The following is a 17,952-nucleotide window of genomic DNA, read 5'->3' on the forward strand; positions in this document are numbered from 1 at the left end:
GAGCCAAATGAAGAAGGAAGTTTAAGTATTAATCTTTAATATTTCCCTAATAATATTTTGGAAAATCATGCTCTATCATTTTTGCAAATGTGATGATTTCACATATACAGTTGACCCTTGAACAGTGCAGGAGTTCAGAGGGCCGACCCCCAAAACAGTCAAATATTTGTATATAACTTTTGACTTCCTCCAAAACTTAAATACTAATAGCCTACTGTTGACCAGAAGCCTCATCAATAACAGCAACAGTTGATTAGCACACATTTTGTATATTATATGTGTTATATACTGTGTTCTTACAATAAAGTTAGCTAGAGAAGAGAAAATGTTATTAAGAAAATTGTAAGAAAGAGAAAATATATTTACTATTAATTAATTGGAAATGAGTCATCATAGAGTTCTTCATCCTCATCATCTTCATGCTGAGCAGGCTGAGGAGGAGGAGAAAGAAGAGGAGCGGTTGGCTTTGCTTTTCAGGAGTGGCAGAGGTGGAAGAAAATCCATGTATATGTGGACCTATGCAGTTCAAACTCATGTTGTTCAAGAGTCAACTGTACATCTATATCTGAGGTCAGCAAACTATGGCTCAAAAGCCAAATCTGGCCCTCTGCCTGTTTTTATAAATAAAGTTTTATGAGAACATCAGCCATGTTCATTATTTATACATTATCTATGTCTGCTTTGTGCTACAATGGCAGAGTTAAGTCATTGTGATCAAGACCAGATGAGCTGCAAAGTCTATCTGGGCCCTTTACAGAAGAAGTCTGCCAAACCTCGATCTAAATAACGTGCTTAATTTTGTATTTCTAGGCTTACCAATTTTAGACCTTATCTACTGATTACTTACTCTGCAAGATAAGGGCTAGCTCAGCTGCACCATACCCTACCTCCTTCTTGCACTTGTTGAGGCTCAGGACTTGATACCTCAAAGTATGGTGCCTTGGCATGCTGAGTACTTTGAACTAAAGAAGATTGGAAGGACCTCAGAAGCAAGGTCTCTCTGACTTTATCCTGCCCTTCTGTGTCCTGCCTCTCTTTCTGTCCCGAAGAGAGTCATAGAAACCAGATTTCCTCTTCTCCAAGACAGGTCGTAGGAACCAGAACCCATCTCCCACAATGCAAGCCATAAAACCTAGAAAGGTCACTGTCTCCCTTCTCCCTTGAAGACCTTCATTTTGGAGGAGTCCTGCCCCATACTCCAAAGGAAGGAAAGCTACAGAGACAGGTCAAGAAGTATCTGGACAGACAGGCCTTGGTGGGTTTTTCCCTTAGTCTATTACCATTAGATCATACCCTTTTGTCTAATCACATTGCTACATGACTCTCTATTCTTCGTCGAACCTAATCATAAAAATAGACAGTATTCCCTGGGTCTTTGGGTCTTCATTAATGAAGGTTCCCATGTAATATAAAATGTTGATTAAATACATTTATGTTTTTCTCTTATTAACCTATCTTTGGTTATAGGAATGTCAGCCATGACCCTTATGATGGGCGAGGAAAGGTATCATTACCTTTCTGCCCCTACACACTTCTCTTTCTCCAGTGTAATTCTGTAACTGCCAATTAGCTTTGTAATTTTAAATGATAAATTATACATTTCTTTCTTTTTCTTTCTACTATAAATAGCATGTCCTGATATTAGTAATTCCACTTAGTGAGATGAAAATATAATTCTTGTACCCTTCTTGCTTACTTCCCCTTATCCTTTCTTTTTCCACCTTTTGTCTTCCATAGTTAGTCTTTAATAATACAATGGTTGAAAACATTCACAATTGTTCCATAACCATTACGATGTCTTTCATGCCTTATTTATAGGTTGATTTAAAATTTTTAAACTCACTGGAGGGTTTTTATTCTTAGTACTAAGGAAATATTATTCACCGTATAGCTAATTATTGCTGATTATAATGCCTCTATTGAAAAGGGATTTTTGTTGTTTTTCTAGCAGTCTCTGACAGTTTTTCATTTTCTCCCTTGCATGTCCTGTGTTAAAAATGCTTTGTCCTTCTTAAAAATAGAGTCAAATCTCTGGAACCACCTTCTTTCCCAGGCACCTTTCTCCTCAATTCTTCCTCCCACTCTAACCTGGGTTGATGACTTCCTAGGCCTCGTTCAAGACTGGCATCCTTGATTTTGCTTCCTTCTCCTCCTGTGTTGGATCCATTGCTTCCTTAATCCCATGTCTTTCTATTTCTTGATTTTGTTAGAGCACATCTTCAGATCACTTGCTTCAAAAAGATGTGTGGGAAGTAAGCGTTCTAAATTTTTGTGGGTCTGGAAATGTCTTTATTCTGACCCCTCACTTAACCTAGAAATCTAGATTGAAAATGATTTTTCCACAGTAGCTTCAGGGCAAGCTACATTGCCTTTGGGTCTCCAGGTCCCACAGTCAAATAATGATCTATTCTCATTCATTTATCCTCAATGTATCTTTTCTCTCTACTGTTTTAAGGATAATTTATTTATCTTTGGTATATTAAACTTTCATTGTGATGCTTCCAGGTGTAAAGACATTTTTATTGTCAAGCTCTCAGGCTGAGTTTTCAGATCATTCAGCTCAGGGACTTTTCAGATTCTTTTTTAAAAATAATTCCTTTCTCATTATTGTTCTCTGTTTTCTGTTTTAGAAATTCCTATCAATTGTTTATTGGATCTTCTGAATTGATCATCTATAAATGTTTTCTTTTCTCTCGTGTTTTGATACTTTGTCTTTTTACTCAACTTTCTGGAAGATTTTTAAAATTTTTATCCTTCAGGCTTTTTATTGAATTGAATATGAAATTGTTTAATTTCTAAGAATATTCCCTCGGTCTCATGTTTCTTTTTTTTTCCAGTGAAGTGCTGCAGTACACAATCTAAGGCACATGGCTCTATCCAGTTATCTTATACAATTTAGGCCTAGAAATGAGTTTGCTGAGACACATAATATATGCATTTTAATTTTGAAAACTTATGATAGCCCTTCAGAAACAGGTTGCAGAAACTTACACTTCTAATTCTAGGGAAGGGAAATGATACATCAGAATTTTTGCTTTGCATTTATTAATGAGAATGAGTGTCATTCAGAACTACCATTTGTATTATTTTTATCTATGTGCCTGGTCATGTACTTCATTTTTTTTTTAATTGAGTTGCCTTTTCTTTTTGAATTCTACAAGTTCTTTATTGTGTATATTATGTATTTGTCTGTTTCATATGTTGCAAATATTCCCTTCTAATGTGTCATTTGCTTTGTAACTTTGCTTATGCTTTTGATATTTTAAATTACTGTGTAATTGAACCTGTTTGTGTTTTCCTTTGTAGCTTCTGGGTTTCACATTATGCTTAGAAATGTCCTTCCTACTCCTAGACTCTAAAGGTATTCTTTAGTAGTATTTTCTTCTAGTGCTTTCATAGGTTAAATGTTTTACATCTAATACATACAGGAAACTTGGTGTATGGTATGTGTGTGAATCTAGCTTATTGACTTTCCACATAGATACTGTATTTAGTTAACCCCATTTATTTATTTATTTATTTATTTATTTTTTGAGATGGAGTCTCACTCTGTCACCCAGGCTGGAGTGCAGTGGCGGGGTCTCGGCTCACTGCAACCTCCGCCTCCCGGGTTCACACCGTTCTCCTGCCTCAGCCTCCCGAGTAGCTGGGACTACAGGTGCCCGCCACCACGCCTGGCTAATTTTTTGTATTCTTAGTAGAGATGGGGTTTCACCGCGTTAGCCAGGATGGTCTCGATCTCCTGACCTCGTGATCTGCCCACCTCGGCCTCCCAAAGTGCTGGGATTACAAGCATGAGCCACCGTACCCGGCCAGTTAACCCCACTTTAAACAATAGTTTATTCTTTCCCTGGGATTTGAATTGCCCTCATGCTTTAGTTTGTGACCATTTCTATTCCATTGCACTATTTACTAGTTTCTTTTAGAGAATGTATTGTTCCGTAATGTAATGGTTCAGTGGGGACTCCCTTCACTGATACTTACTAACTGTCCAAAGTCCAGTTACTTTACCAATCTGTTCCTCAACTGTAAATGACTGTAAGAATAACACCCACCTCATAGGTTCGTTGTGAAAATGAATGTGCTAATACATATAAATAATTGAGAGTAGCTCTTGGAAGGCTCAGTAAATGTTAGCAGCAGCTGCTGCTGTTAAGGTAATGGTTCTTTTCTCCAGGGCCTAGCACAGTGCCTGATTAAACAAATCCAACTGAAAGGTTAGATAACATGAACGTCAATTATTGAAGAGAATTGAATGTCTTCCTTGTGAGGAAGACAGAAAGGCATAAAGAGCTATAATGCCCTTTTTCCAAAAGTGAAGATGGATGGGGCAAAATCTCCCAGAGTTTTATCCTGGGTCATTGATTTGTTTTCCCCACGGCTTGTGTGGCCCAGAAAGTAAGTCACACTAATAAAGGTCGAAAGCAGTTTTCAGCCTTTAAATGGAATTAAATGAATACTATTATGACAAGTTAATTAGATACCCATAAAACTGCTAAACATATGTCATTAAAAAGTCCATGCTCCAAATTTTGTTAAACATCAATTATGATCATAAGAAATCTGCATCTAGTAAAGTGGATACTGCTGACACATGTTAATTATTCTGGAAAATAATTGAGCTCTTTAAAAATTTTACTATGCTATTAAGCATGTATGGCCTCTGAAAATTTGAGCTATTGTGAGCTTATCCAAATGAATCTAACAATATAAAATGAAGTAAAAATGTTCTTTGAGTTCTCTTAGTATGACAAAAGGCAAACACAAATTATTATTTTGAAGGGTCCATAAAATAAACTTGGTTTGAACTCTAAATGTTCAGGTAGGAAAGTTGCAGAGTCTCAGCAACTCCAGTCTGTGTTAGAGTGGCCACAGCAAAATAGAATAAAACAATGAAGAGCTGTTTTCTTTGTCCACAAGATGACGGTACATCACTTCTCAACAGTGCAACAGAAGGAAGGAGTTTTGAAATGCATGCCTCTAATCTATATGCATTCCAATTCTTGACAGTGGTCTTGATTTATGCCAATGTAATGGGAAATGTTAATTCAAGTCATCAAATTGTTTATCATAAAGAATTGCTATTGCTGCCCATAAATTGCTTCTTATCTGGGAACTCAGATGCTCAAGAAAATCACCAGGGAATTAAAAAGATATAAGAGGCTGGTGAGAGTGACTGCAAATTACAGGCTATATGAGGGTCGGATACCTGATTCATCTCTTGAGCTCTTTCTCTGGGTGTCTCTCACTGAACCAGTGCTTTTCCAAGTGTGATCCTGAATTCTGCACCAGAATCACTTGGAATGCCTATTAAAACAGATTCCTGGGTAATGCTGGGCTCACTGGTGGGGAGAATTTCAGTACGATTTAGGTAAACTGGGCCTGGAAAATGAAATACTTTTAAGCAAATAGCACCAAAATTGATGTCAGGGATGCTATTAAGGAAATAGCATCAAAATTGTTGTGCTTTCTTTAATTACTTTCATATTTGTATTTTGAAATGAATATAGGTAATGGGAAATTCATAATCTTGGAAGACAGTGCTCATTCTACTCTCAGTGACTATTCTCTTCTCCCTGCTGAAATAGAAAGCCTTCCCTGCTTGAGTGGGTCTGAACAACTAAGTCCTCTGGTTTCCTCCCAGTTCACTTTCTCTTGAGGTTGACCTTGCTTATCAACACCTCTAGCTTCTAGCGGGAGTGCACTCTTGAAATCACAAGACTACCTCCAAGTGTCCAGGAAAGACCATTGACATGATCTGAAGATCCCTACCCCTGGATCCTACCCAGTATCTCAGAAGTCAGGGTTGAGAATACAAACTTTAGCTTACTGCTACATAGTTTTCCAATGTGGTCATACCATTTATTCTCCAGGAACAGATTTTGATAAGGGTATTCAAAGTGTCCTATAGCATCTCTAGAATTCAATTCACAGTGGCTTACACTCATGTGGATAGCATACTGTTTACACTGATTATTATAATACCAAACAGAGCATATAATTCAGGGTATTTATTGTCTCTATTACTTGTCTTTTTAATTTATAATCACTGATAAGTCTCAATCTAAGCTTCAGTGTTCCTTGGGAGCAATGCCTATCTGGGGTTGATGGTAGGAGGGAAGGTTGAGAGCTACCAGCTCTGTTCAGCATCTCTATCAACCCATGGGTGTGACTTGATTATTATTGCCTCTGACACATTAGAGTATCATTAACATAAAAGTCATCTCTTAAACACATTAAACTGAACTCAATTAACAGAATTGATTACCAGCCTAACTGTAGGGATTTTGCAGCTTTAGGGAAACTGACAAACATCTTGCCCTTTTAGATCCTACAATCACATTCACAAAGCACGGTCAATAAACATTTTGCCAGCTCTCAATTTATCGTCTTTAACGAGGACAAAAATCTCTCTGGGTGGATGAACTGGCTGTTGATAAAAGACTAATTGTGGAAATGGTTTTCAGTAGTGGTATTGACAAATAGAACTGAGTCCTTGAAGGATAAATTTGACCATGAATTAATGGAACCTGTCTTGGATGTTAATTTGTACAAGCCCTAATAGATCTTTGATTTATTGCATCTCATTTTCTGAAGTGGAAAGCATGACTGGAAAAATGTATCAGTCTAGATGTATAAACCTCATGGTCCTTTGAACTGTAACCCTCAAAATGAATAATATTCTGATTCATAAATAACATTAATAACGTGTGCATTCCATTTAATGTTTAAGAACTCCATTAACCTTAGTTTCTAAGATATTCCACTTTTTCCATTGATAATCTCTGTTTAGAAATTATCTTCTAAAACCTGAAGGCATTTGCCAAAGTCCCATCTAGCTCTCAAATTTGGTGTTCTTCTCTCTCATAAATTTTACTATAGGTCTGTTGGTTTTGCTATGTGGTAATGTTGAACAAAGATAAAAGTTTACTGTGAAAACTTTGACAGAGAGACAAACAAAGAGAATGTCTCAGTTGAGATAAAAAGAGATCTCATTTCATTTAAATTAGGCAACATCCTCATTGTATTTCAAGGTCCGTATGTGGAAAATATGTCTTATCCGGAAAGGAATGCTTATTTAATAGGTATGTGTTTTTCAGGTTTTGTTTTTAATTTTTTGAGAATGTTGGTGTATATATTAGTTGGTATATTATAAACAAATCCTAGTTGAATAACTGATCTCAGTGCTGTTTTTAATGCAAAAGTATTTATTGTTCTTGGAGAAGAATCAGAAAAGAAGCTGAAATGAGATTTTTCACTGGAAGCCAGGAAGAGGGGACTCCCCATCAGTGCCATCCAAGGGGCAGGTTTGTTTCACGGCACCTACTAGATTTCTCCATGAAAGAGTGAGATATGGTGTGTGAGTGACTCAGAGTCCTGTCAGGAAACAGGTGGATGTGGGCACAGATAAGGAAACTAGTAAGTCACACTGAGGCACCAGGGACTAGCAGCAGCTGGGACCTGTTAGCACTTCGAGGTCTCAAAAGGAAGGAGTAAGAAGAATAAATAACCCATCTCTCTCTCTCTCTTCCCATCCTCATTCTCTCCTGCCAGCACCTCCCATTGTTTTGCCCGAGCAGGAAGCCAGAACACAAGGATCCCATGTGATGCAATCATAAGCGTGAAGCTCTCAGGGCACCAATGCTGCTGGTGGGGTTGAGGGCAGGGAGATGAGATTCAGTTCACATGTACAAGGCTCAGAACAAGAGAAACACAAGCAAAACCCAAAACAGAAAAGATGTGTAAAGTTGGACAGTCTAAGGAAACTGAACTCTTTAGGTAAGGGCTAGAAATAACAATTTCAATGCAGAAAGATCAAGAGATCACAAGTTCTTAATTAAAACAACTGTTAGCTCAAACCTTTGATTCTGTAATTTCCTTACCAGCCCCTTTTAACTTCCATCAGAAGTTTTTAGTTATCAAAAAATGAGCCTTTATTATGTAATCACTTCTTAAAATTATTTACGTAAAGATTATAGAATTATGAAATTTTCAAAGTGTGGCCAATCAACTCTCCAAAAATATCTCTTTTATCAAAATTAATTCGTGTTTGACTCGTGTCTTAGATCGGGATTTCTGTAACACATATTCTTGTAGTTTATATTTACCAAAACCATGGGGTTCTTTTCACTTTCCGAGTATAAAATTATAACGTAAATTTTCAAAGAATACATGCGGACTGGGAGGACATACAACAGCCCCTTAAGATGGGGAGGAGACCTGCCGTGTCTTCAGCCCTCCTCCTCAACTACTGCCCTAAAATATGGATACAATCCAATTTGATAGAGACAAACTCTCAGGCCTAAAATGATTATTTTAACATGATTGATAAAGACTTTGCTCATTGTTATCAAGCTTTTGTTCAAAAATGTATTTTCCTGCAGGTAAAAAAAAAACATATGAGTAATCAATTAAGAAGAAAAAGCCTGCCCAGCCATGCAATAATTATGTTCTCTGTAAACAATGGATGTTGACACCTGAGAAAGGTTTGGGGTGGTTACATTTCCAATCCCCAAAGGATTCAATCTATCAGAGCCCAAACAAGAGCACATGTAAGAACTATCAACCAGTCTGTCTCTTCATCACTCAAACCTGGGGCTACTCTGTTTCATCCCACTTGCTGTGGTAGGATTAAACCAGCAGGATGGAAATATGCCATTCCCCACCAGCACTCTAACTTCATTTTTAGGTTTCTAAAAATGCCACTGAATATTTCTGAATGTGAGAGTGGGGCTTTTCAAGGGCTGTGGTGAGCTTTGTGATATCAATGACTCTGTCCATCACATTTGAATATGTAAAACACCTTTTGGGCTCACACCAGAAGTTAGGAACCCTCTGGATCATACAGAACAGAAATCCTTACATTTTTTTTGCTTTTGTAGTCCTGTCACTAAAAAAAGTTTTGAACATGTACTGCCCCAAATGTGTATTAATTTATTCATAATTTATATATCTGTACTACTGTAAATAATATATTATGGAGAATATAAAATATATGTTAAGAGGTGTTGAAATGAAGGTAAAATATACATTTTAATCACTCAAATATTTTGCTATCACTGCTGCATTAAAAAATCAATATTTTAAATGATAAAGTGGTCAAGGATGCTGATTTATTTTTGAACATCTTGGTTTAACATTTCATTGAGTAAAAATGTGAAGGTCTGGTTGCAAGTTCAGCTTATTTCTTTATTTGGTTTTAATCATTGTCATTGGAGGAAAAAAAGAACTGCAGAAACATATGAAGAGGCAAACGGACAAAGTATGGCTCCAACTTGCTTACTAGATCATGAAATACCATTTTTCAATCCCATCTATGCAAGAGATTTTGTTGACATTCGTCTGGAAAGTTTCCATCTCCTTTGATGTCCGTCAGCTGTTCTTACAAACCAAATGGAAGATATTGCCTTTTTATTATATTTAACAAGTGAGTTCACAATCCACTGAAATGCTTCATTTGGAAGATTGTTAAACAGGTTAGACAAATCCATTTTCAAGTTTTCAAAGACTGCAGTTTTTATCTATGCATATTTGCATAATTTTCAATAAAACAATCAAATAACTGTTGTTATGTCTAAACATCTGTTTCCCTACATTCAGACCACAATCCAAGTTTATTTTGACAAACTAAGTTGCTTTCTCACTCTTTGCTGTATCTTCTTTACCCTGAAAAGACAACTCTTTCAGTTCATTGTCACCAGCAAACCAACAACCCCTTTGTCAGACAAAAGATTTTCATAGCTGCTCGACTTTATTTTAATCATTTTGTTTCAAAACAACCACACTGTTGATATCTAAAGTACTTCAATTACCCTGGAAGCCTCGTTTTGTTCTAGTCAAAGCTACTACTCCATTGTTGTATATTTTGCTATATTTCGTGCCAGTATCATAGGATTCTAAGAATTGTCTTTTTATAATAAGTTCTGGTATCCTGTAGGGCTAGACAACCATAGCATTTTTCTTGTTTAGAGTGTTCTTTTATAGCATTATGTAAAATTTAGAATTCTCATTGTTGAATTTTTTAAAAAAGGACTATTGAAATATCTTTATTGGATGGCATTAAATTTGTAAATTAATTTGGAGAAAACTAAAATTATCACATTTATTCTACCCATTAAAAAGAAGCCTCATTTATTTCAAAGCCTCCTAAAATTCTCCAACAAGATTCTTCTAAACATTTTGTGATTTTAAATTTAATTGTTCTGGATTGTCTCGGCTTTTCAAGTACTATGTAAGTTTCCAAGCTTGACTAAACAGTTCTAAATCTTTAAATGCTCCTGACAGTGTTGTGGGAATTGACTGACAGTGGCCTGTGGAATTGATTAGCGGAGGTTAAATTCTTCTGAACCCACAGTATGCGTATTTATGAAGGCAAAAAGCATGCAATTCACCATGTTATGTGAGCTGAAAACACACGATGTGCAGTTATGTGTGTTCATATAAAATTTAACTCATTTCTAGTGAAGGGATTTGATTTGGCTCTTTTGATCCCAAAGGACAGAGGCAGTAGTTCCAGATGCAGAGAAGGTTTAGGATCCTGATTAGTGAGGGTTCCTGGATCTTCTGTCCTGATATTGCTCCACAGAGTGGTCTCTCTCCAAGTTTAGTAACTTCTCTTCCAACTCCCATCTTCGTTCCAACAAAGATGGTTTCTGTTTTCTCATGTAGCACATATAAATCTTATTCCTAAACTCATGTGTGCGATCGTATTATATTCCTGCTGGTTGGCAATTCAAATGTAATCATGTTGAATATTCACAAGTTCTGGGAATCTTACACAGAGAAGAAATTTGAGCAGGGCTTTATGGTTTCAACCCACATTACGTGCTCCTAAGATACCCTGATCCAAATCTGTGTGATCCCCTGAAGTTCACTGACTGCCGTTTCTTAGGCTCAGACTTAAGTCGTGGTGCCTTGCCGGGCATCCCACCAAGCTGCTTCTCCTGAAGTTGCTGCCACCTCACAGGGGTCTTCTACCCTTGCTTCCTCAGCCAAGCTGCTCAGACTTTCAGGAAACAAAAGTAGGAAAGAGTTATAAGCAGTCAACTTTTGCTTTGAGCCCTGATAAATACATCACCCCTAAGGCAAGAGTCTGCAAAAGACCTGTCTACTTTATTAGACCTGGGAGTGGAAAAAACCCAATGAGAACAAAGCGAAAAAATATATATTTTCAATATATTACTTTACCACACACAATATCATCATTTTGACTCACTGGAAACCTAGAACTAGGTTCTAAAATGCCTCGTGACCTCTCTCCGTTGTAACCTATCAACTTTAACAATCCATACTTTGCTTTCTTTTATTCTTCCTACTGAAATTCTTGCTCTGAGGAACTCTGGTTTACATAGATGAGCACTTTTGGTCAAAGCTTTCCATGTTAGGCCCCCTTCCAGGCCACAGCAGGGATTACGAATTTTGCAGCCCTACTGTGCCCAAGCCCAAATCCAGTCAGGGATGTGGGAAGATGCTGAAGAATAGACTGTGGGGTTCCTGTGGCTGCCATGCCACCAAGGATAATAAGGGGAGAAGTTTCCTTTGGAGGTGTCTGTGGTGTTTGTCCAATGTAACATACTTAGTCATGAATGACATGGGGAATGAAGTTGGTGGAGAAAATCCTTTTGACATGTGGAACTTCAGGGTATTTATTAATAAATACTATTTTAAGCACTATTTACAGACTAGATGCATGAGCTTTTGGTACATACCAAACATCCCCCAAATTCAGTGTCATAAAACCATCATCATGTCTTATCCCTTATTCAGGTAGCTGATCTAGGCTTGGGGGCTGGGCAGCTCTGCTATACTTAGCTTCTCACTGAGGTGCAGGCTCTGGTCATTCTAGAGAACAGGCTGAAAGGGCAGCAGCTACCTTGAGAAGGCCTTCTTGTGACGCTGGTGGGCAGTAAGAACAGATGCCCAAACAAACTAGCATTTTTTACTTGACACGTCTGGGCTCCATCATGGGACATGCTTAGGGCAATAGGATGTTAGCAGAGCCAAGGGGCAGAGAAACATGTACTGTGTATAGTGGGAAGGTACTGGAAAGGAATGTGGCATCTGGTGGCAAATCATGACCTAGGGAGCAAATCAAGACTAAGTCAGTCTACCACACAGACCAGTGCTACCAAGATAAGAGCATATATTGATGCTTGGTCCTCTCTTGTAATCATAGCTGGTCATCCCTGAAACCTAACACCAACGATGACCTCAAGCATACCTTAGGCACAAAAATGTTTATACTCCATAAGTAGTTATACCTATCTGTGATCCAGTCTTAACTACCCAGGTAGCCTACCTGCCATTATCTTCCCAGATTCTTTAACCTCCGCACCAAAGGTAACGGCTTCTAAATTTGGATTTTCCTTCCAGAATCCTTCCACTCAGCACATATTTTGAAAAGGACTTTGCTGGCTTTAATGAGTGCATCAAAAACTGGAATGACTTCAGGTTTTCACACAGCATGCTTTCTACTAGTCAAAGCAATTATTTGTGACACATTGGGTGTATCAGTGTTTTATTTCTGCTGAGAAAGAAGGGCTCCAAGAGTTCAAGGAAAGCCCTTTCCTTTTGTTATGGGGAGTTAGGCAGCAGGATTTCTGTCATTCCTTTTGAAATGAAATCTGTCAGAAACAGGAAGATTGCTCACTTTATCTTGATGGACATATTTTCCATTTCAATTAATATACTCTGTATTTTTTGGGTCACAGATTCCTGGCCTATCTGTGTGTTTTTTAGAGAAAGTTGGGGACAGAGGATGGAGGTTTGAATAGCTCATCAGTTGTATACTTCTAGTCTCAGCATCAGAATTCACTGACGCACGTTCAGCAGGTAAAAAAAAAATGTTGCTTTTTCAGCTCATTAAACAAGGACTCAAGTGTCTTTATTAAAAAAAAATATTGCAAGTACAGGGCCAAAAACTGCTTGCCTTGTTACAGAGGGTCAAATGATGTTTCATGGGGAACATGCTAGTAGGCTTGCATTCTTACTGGAAAAGAGACGGGGGTTGATTATTTTTAGGTAATTTATTCTGAAAACACAACCTGTTGAGAGAGAAGATGAGAATGCCATTGGAAGGTTATCCTCAACATGCAAGCAAAACAAAAATAATAAAAAAATCATTAGCAAAGATGACAACACTAGACCAAGCAGTGACCACACAGTACATATTTGGTTGTGTTTCAAGCCTTATTTGGGTAGAGGAAAAAAAAAAAAAACCAATGAAGAAATATAGGCCAATGTAAGACTCTGTTGACACAGAGAATGGCAGCATCTGAGGTTGAAAGGACGTATGCCTGTATCGCCCCTAATTATAGAACATCATCAGTGCTTCTTATTTCCCTCAAGACTCAGGCTTGCCCCCGGCACTATGTTCAATGGTCACTTAATGGTCTAGAAACATGGTTGAGAAAAAACATATTAACAGCAATCCAGTCACCAGAGCACCTGGATTTTCTCCTACCTTCTTTTATTCTTTCGTGTTCTGGTACAGTCTTGCCTTGTGTATATCAATGTATGTTTGTATTTATTGTGTCATTGCATTTGATAGGATTTTTCAAATTGAAAGCCTCAGAGCTTACGTAGGATTTGTGAGGCATTTTACTAAGAAAGTTGGGCTGCAAGTATTTTAAATGTTATTGAGTTTATTTTCAAATTTTAAGACTGACTGAGTTCATAATGTCTGAAACGGACTCCTTTCTATTCATTGATCTCCAGAGAAGAAAATAACAATCAATACTTTGTTTTTAACTTTTATTTTAAGTTCAAGGGTACATGTGTAGGTTTGTTACATAGGAAAACTTACGTCATGAGGGTTTGTTGCACAGATTATTTCATCACCCAGGTATTAAGCCTAGTACCCATTAGTTGTTTTTCCTGATCCTCTCCCTCCTCCCACCCTTCACCCTCAAGTAGGCCCCCGTGTGTGTCGTTCCCCTCTATGTGTCCATGTGTTCTCATCATTTAGCTCCCACTTATAAGTGAGACCATTCCAGCCAATGCTTTTTGAGTGCTTACTATGTGCTTACATTTTGCTGAGTGCTTTATGTTTATTCATTCAGTTTTCACAAGTATCTTATGAACTTGTTATGATCATTGTCACCATTTTACAGATAAGAAAACTGAAATATAGAGTGATGGAGTAATTTGTGCAGGTCACGTCAATAAGAAGTAGGGGAGCCAGGACTTGAATTCAGGCAGTCTGGCTCCAAAGTCTCTCACCAAACGATCATATCAGTTCTCACGTTCACACTGCACCTGGGCATTTATTTGTTTCTTGTACAAACTAGAAAGTGTCACCTACTTGAAGAGACAAATGTCTCCCATAATGTGGACACATCAGGACACGAGAACTGCATGCTCATAGGCAACATGCTCATAGGTATCTCCTCACTGGGAACGTCTGCTGTGTGCAGGAAAATGGTTCCAGAGTAGAAGTCCCACTCCTGGTCTATCAGGGTGGCCTCCAAATATATTAAAAGCACAACAATTTCTGCGGCTTCTGCCACTCTCACCCTGGTCCAAGCCACCGCCATCAGGGGTTGATGTAATGGCCCCTGAAATGCTTCTACCAGTACCCTCTCCTGTCATCAGCAGGGCAGCTGGATCACATGTCTACTTGTTCCACTCAGAACAAAAGACAAAGTCTTTCCAAGAGCCTGTGTGATCTGTGTCCCTCCTTCCCATCACTTCTTTACTCCTCACCACCCTGCCTGCAACCCCACATCCTTATCTGCGCCACTAGCCTTCAGATTGTTCCTGGGCAGGTTCACGTCAGGCACGTTATGCCTCAGGACCTTTGTGCTTCATGGTCCCTGTGTTGGAAGTGCTCCCCCCGAAACGTTTCCTGTTCCCTGCTGATCATTACAGCACCTTCACCCACCCACTCCACCCACTCAGCTCTCTATCCTTCCTCCCTGCCTTATTTTTCTCCCTAGTGTTTATAATGACTGGCTCTTCCATCTATTTTACTAATGTGTTAGTTTCTTCTTTGTCGCTGAACACTAGCGTGAACACTTTCTTTTTTGTCTGCTTTCTTTCCCAGTGCAATCCCAGAAATGAGAATCCAGTGGGCGTTTTACGAATTGACTAAATGAACAAATGAGTGCATTGTGGAGTTGTTTTGGAGAATTAAGTAAACTAGCATATGGAAAGCATTTGGAACAAACAATGCTTAGCATGAAATTAATGTTTAATAAATGTCAGGTATCAATAAAAGAATAACATAATAGTTATTGAATGAATGATGCATTAGATACTATTACTTGTTCCTGTGGTAGGAAGAGGGTAATCAAGCTCCAGAAGTTTTAAGTATGTTAACGTACATTTACAATGGTTGCTAGAGGAGATAATCAGGGACATCATTTGTGTCCTCTTTTCCTATTGTCTGGAGGGCGTACTATAATCCATCCTTCTCTAGGCAAGAGAGTGGCTCTCAAACTTCATTGGACTTGGGAATCACCTGCAGAGTTTTAAAAAATTGATCCTGGTTCCCATCCCAGATATTCTGATATGGTTAGTCCGGAGTGTAACTCGGGCATTAGGAGTTTTGAAATGCTCCCTGAGTGATTCTAATGTGCAGCAAAGTTTGGGAATCACTGCCTTAAGCTTTTCACAGAGCTAACAGCAGCAGAAGGAAAAGCCTTCCTCAGTCCCTCTCTATGCTTGGAACCGAGAGTTGCACCAACCTCGGTTCTAAAACACGTGTGACCATTAGCAAGTCACCTAGCTTCAGCAAGCTTTACCTTCCTCAATTTTATGTCTGCTGTGGAAAATGGTGAAAACTCAGAATTCAGGGCCAGGTTCCAAAAATGTGAATTTTCCTTCTTCCCTCTCTCCCTTCCTTTCATTCTTCCTTCCTCCCTCCCTTCTTTTCTTCTTTCTGTCCCCTCTTTCATCTGGAGGTAAAAGGACAGAATTGTTTTCAGATGTGGCTCAAAAATGGCTTGCTCTGAAATGGTGCTTTCTTACAGAGGGGACCAGAGAACCAAAGTGTCCACCATGCCTAGCTGGCCCCATTCTTCCCCAGGCATACCCAGCCATGCCTGTTTCAGCTTCAGGAGGGATCAATGTCTGAAGGTCAAGTTCCCACCCATTGGGGTCCACTGTGGGAGTATCAGAGGTCCTACTAGTGTCCTGGGTTCCAGCCCTGGCCTCCCCACTTCTTCCCTGTGTCTTAGTGCCTCCCAGCCTGGGGCCTTGTCTGAGGCTCCTACCCTGGTCACTGGGGCTCACACTGCATTGGTTTTGCTGGCTCACTCAGGGTCTGGAATTCTGTCCTCTGACACCCAGGCCTCTCCGTCTGATCTCCTGCCCACCTGAGTTCTGCCCACCTCTCTTCATCCATCCCAAGCATATACCATATCATGGTAGCTGCGTCTAATCTCTGGGTCCCGAAAAACACCTGCACCCACCCTATAGTGCCACCAATCTCAGCCTGGACTTTTCTATTAATAGAATGGTGGTGAGACACTGGGGATAGCACAATACTGGGGCCAGCATCACGGGTGTGTGACCCATTCAGTGACACAGGACCCTGGGCTGGGTTTCATGTTCTGCTGTCTTGAAATTAGTCATGTTTGAATGAGAGGCTCCACATTTTCATTTTGCACTGTTTCTGCAAATTATCTAATGTGCCCCACACTTCAAATCAGAAGACCTGGTATGGATTGCACCTGGCTTACACCTGAGAAAAGCGTGACCTTGGCCAAGTTATTTTTCCTATCTTGGCATTTGCAAAGAAGGAATGAGTGGGGTAAAACTGTCTCCATCGTAGGGGAATTTTAAGAATGAAATAAGGTAACAGATGAGTGTTAGCACATGGTGCACAACATGTTAGTTCTCAACTAACACTTCTCTTTTTCCTACTGTTCCACCTCCCAAGAAGCTAAGTCGAAAAGACACTTCCTTTCTGTTTAAAATGGATTTTAAATGTTTGTTTTCCTAGATAGTGATATATACCTAAAGGAAAGATCTTAGGAGTTGTCATTGATCTTACCTCATTCTTATTAATTATGCAGAAAGACAACAGGATTCCTTCTTTGCTATCTTTCTTTATTACATTGAACAATATGTTGTCCAGATGGCATATAGAGTAGCATCTTCCAAGATATTTTTAAATGATCTTCTTTTACTTATTGAAGAAGATTACAGGGAGAGAAATTTGAATTAAACCCGTGTCATTGAAATAATCTTAGCTTACATTACATTAAGGAGATTTCTATTATTCAGACTAATAACTTTTCCCCAAAAGAAGGCTGCCTTGAACAATGTGCATGAGTGAAGACTTCATCAAGAGTCATGGGAGTGAGTCTTTGGCCCAACCCTCTGGCATACCAGCCATGGGCCCTTAGTGACAATAAACTAGTATTTTGATCTCAGTTTTCTTATTGGTAAAATCCACAAAATAATACCAGTTCTGCCCTCTCATTCTCAATTTGTGTATCAAATTAGGTATTTGTGGAAGTATTTTGAAAATTTTTGAATGCTATACAAATTTTGAGTTGGGATTATTGATAAGACTTCTGAAGTTTAGGTGTTAATGAAAAGATTCATTTGAACCACTTGAAAATCTTTCCGGAGAACAAATGCCAAGAGTTAAGTTCTCAACTTCTTTGGAAATGGAGATGTGTTTGACAACAGGATAGTGTGTCACCACCAAAATAATCCACTTCAATTTTACTGCGGCCAGAAGCCATAGGTATTACCTTCTAAATGTCTGAAACCCTCTGAGGCTGTTTCTAAGCATATCAGTTATAACTTAACAGCTTTTCACAAAGAAATCTCTTTTTCTCTACTTATTAATTCAAGTACTAATTGAGAATGTACTATGTGCCAGATACAGTTCTAGGCACCTGAGATAAATCAGTGAATAAAACCAAGTTCCTTGCCCTCATAGAGTGTATGTTCCAGTGTATAGAGCAAAACAACAAAAATAACCATAAAATTAAGTAT

The 17,952-nt window shown here is 38.6% G+C and overlaps 1 protein-coding gene across 14 annotated transcripts in view; it reads left to right on the plus strand.

Moving 5' to 3' along the window:
* The window catches only part of FRMPD4 (FERM and PDZ domain containing 4), a 902,085-nt gene that overhangs the window by 768,482 nt on the left and 115,651 nt on the right, over positions 1 to 17,952 (plus strand). The window lies entirely within an intron of this gene.

Source organism: Homo sapiens, chromosome X (genome assembly GCF_000001405.40).
Source record: "Homo sapiens chromosome X, GRCh38.p14 Primary Assembly".
Taxonomy (NCBI): Eukaryota; Metazoa; Chordata; class Mammalia; order Primates; family Hominidae; genus Homo; species Homo sapiens.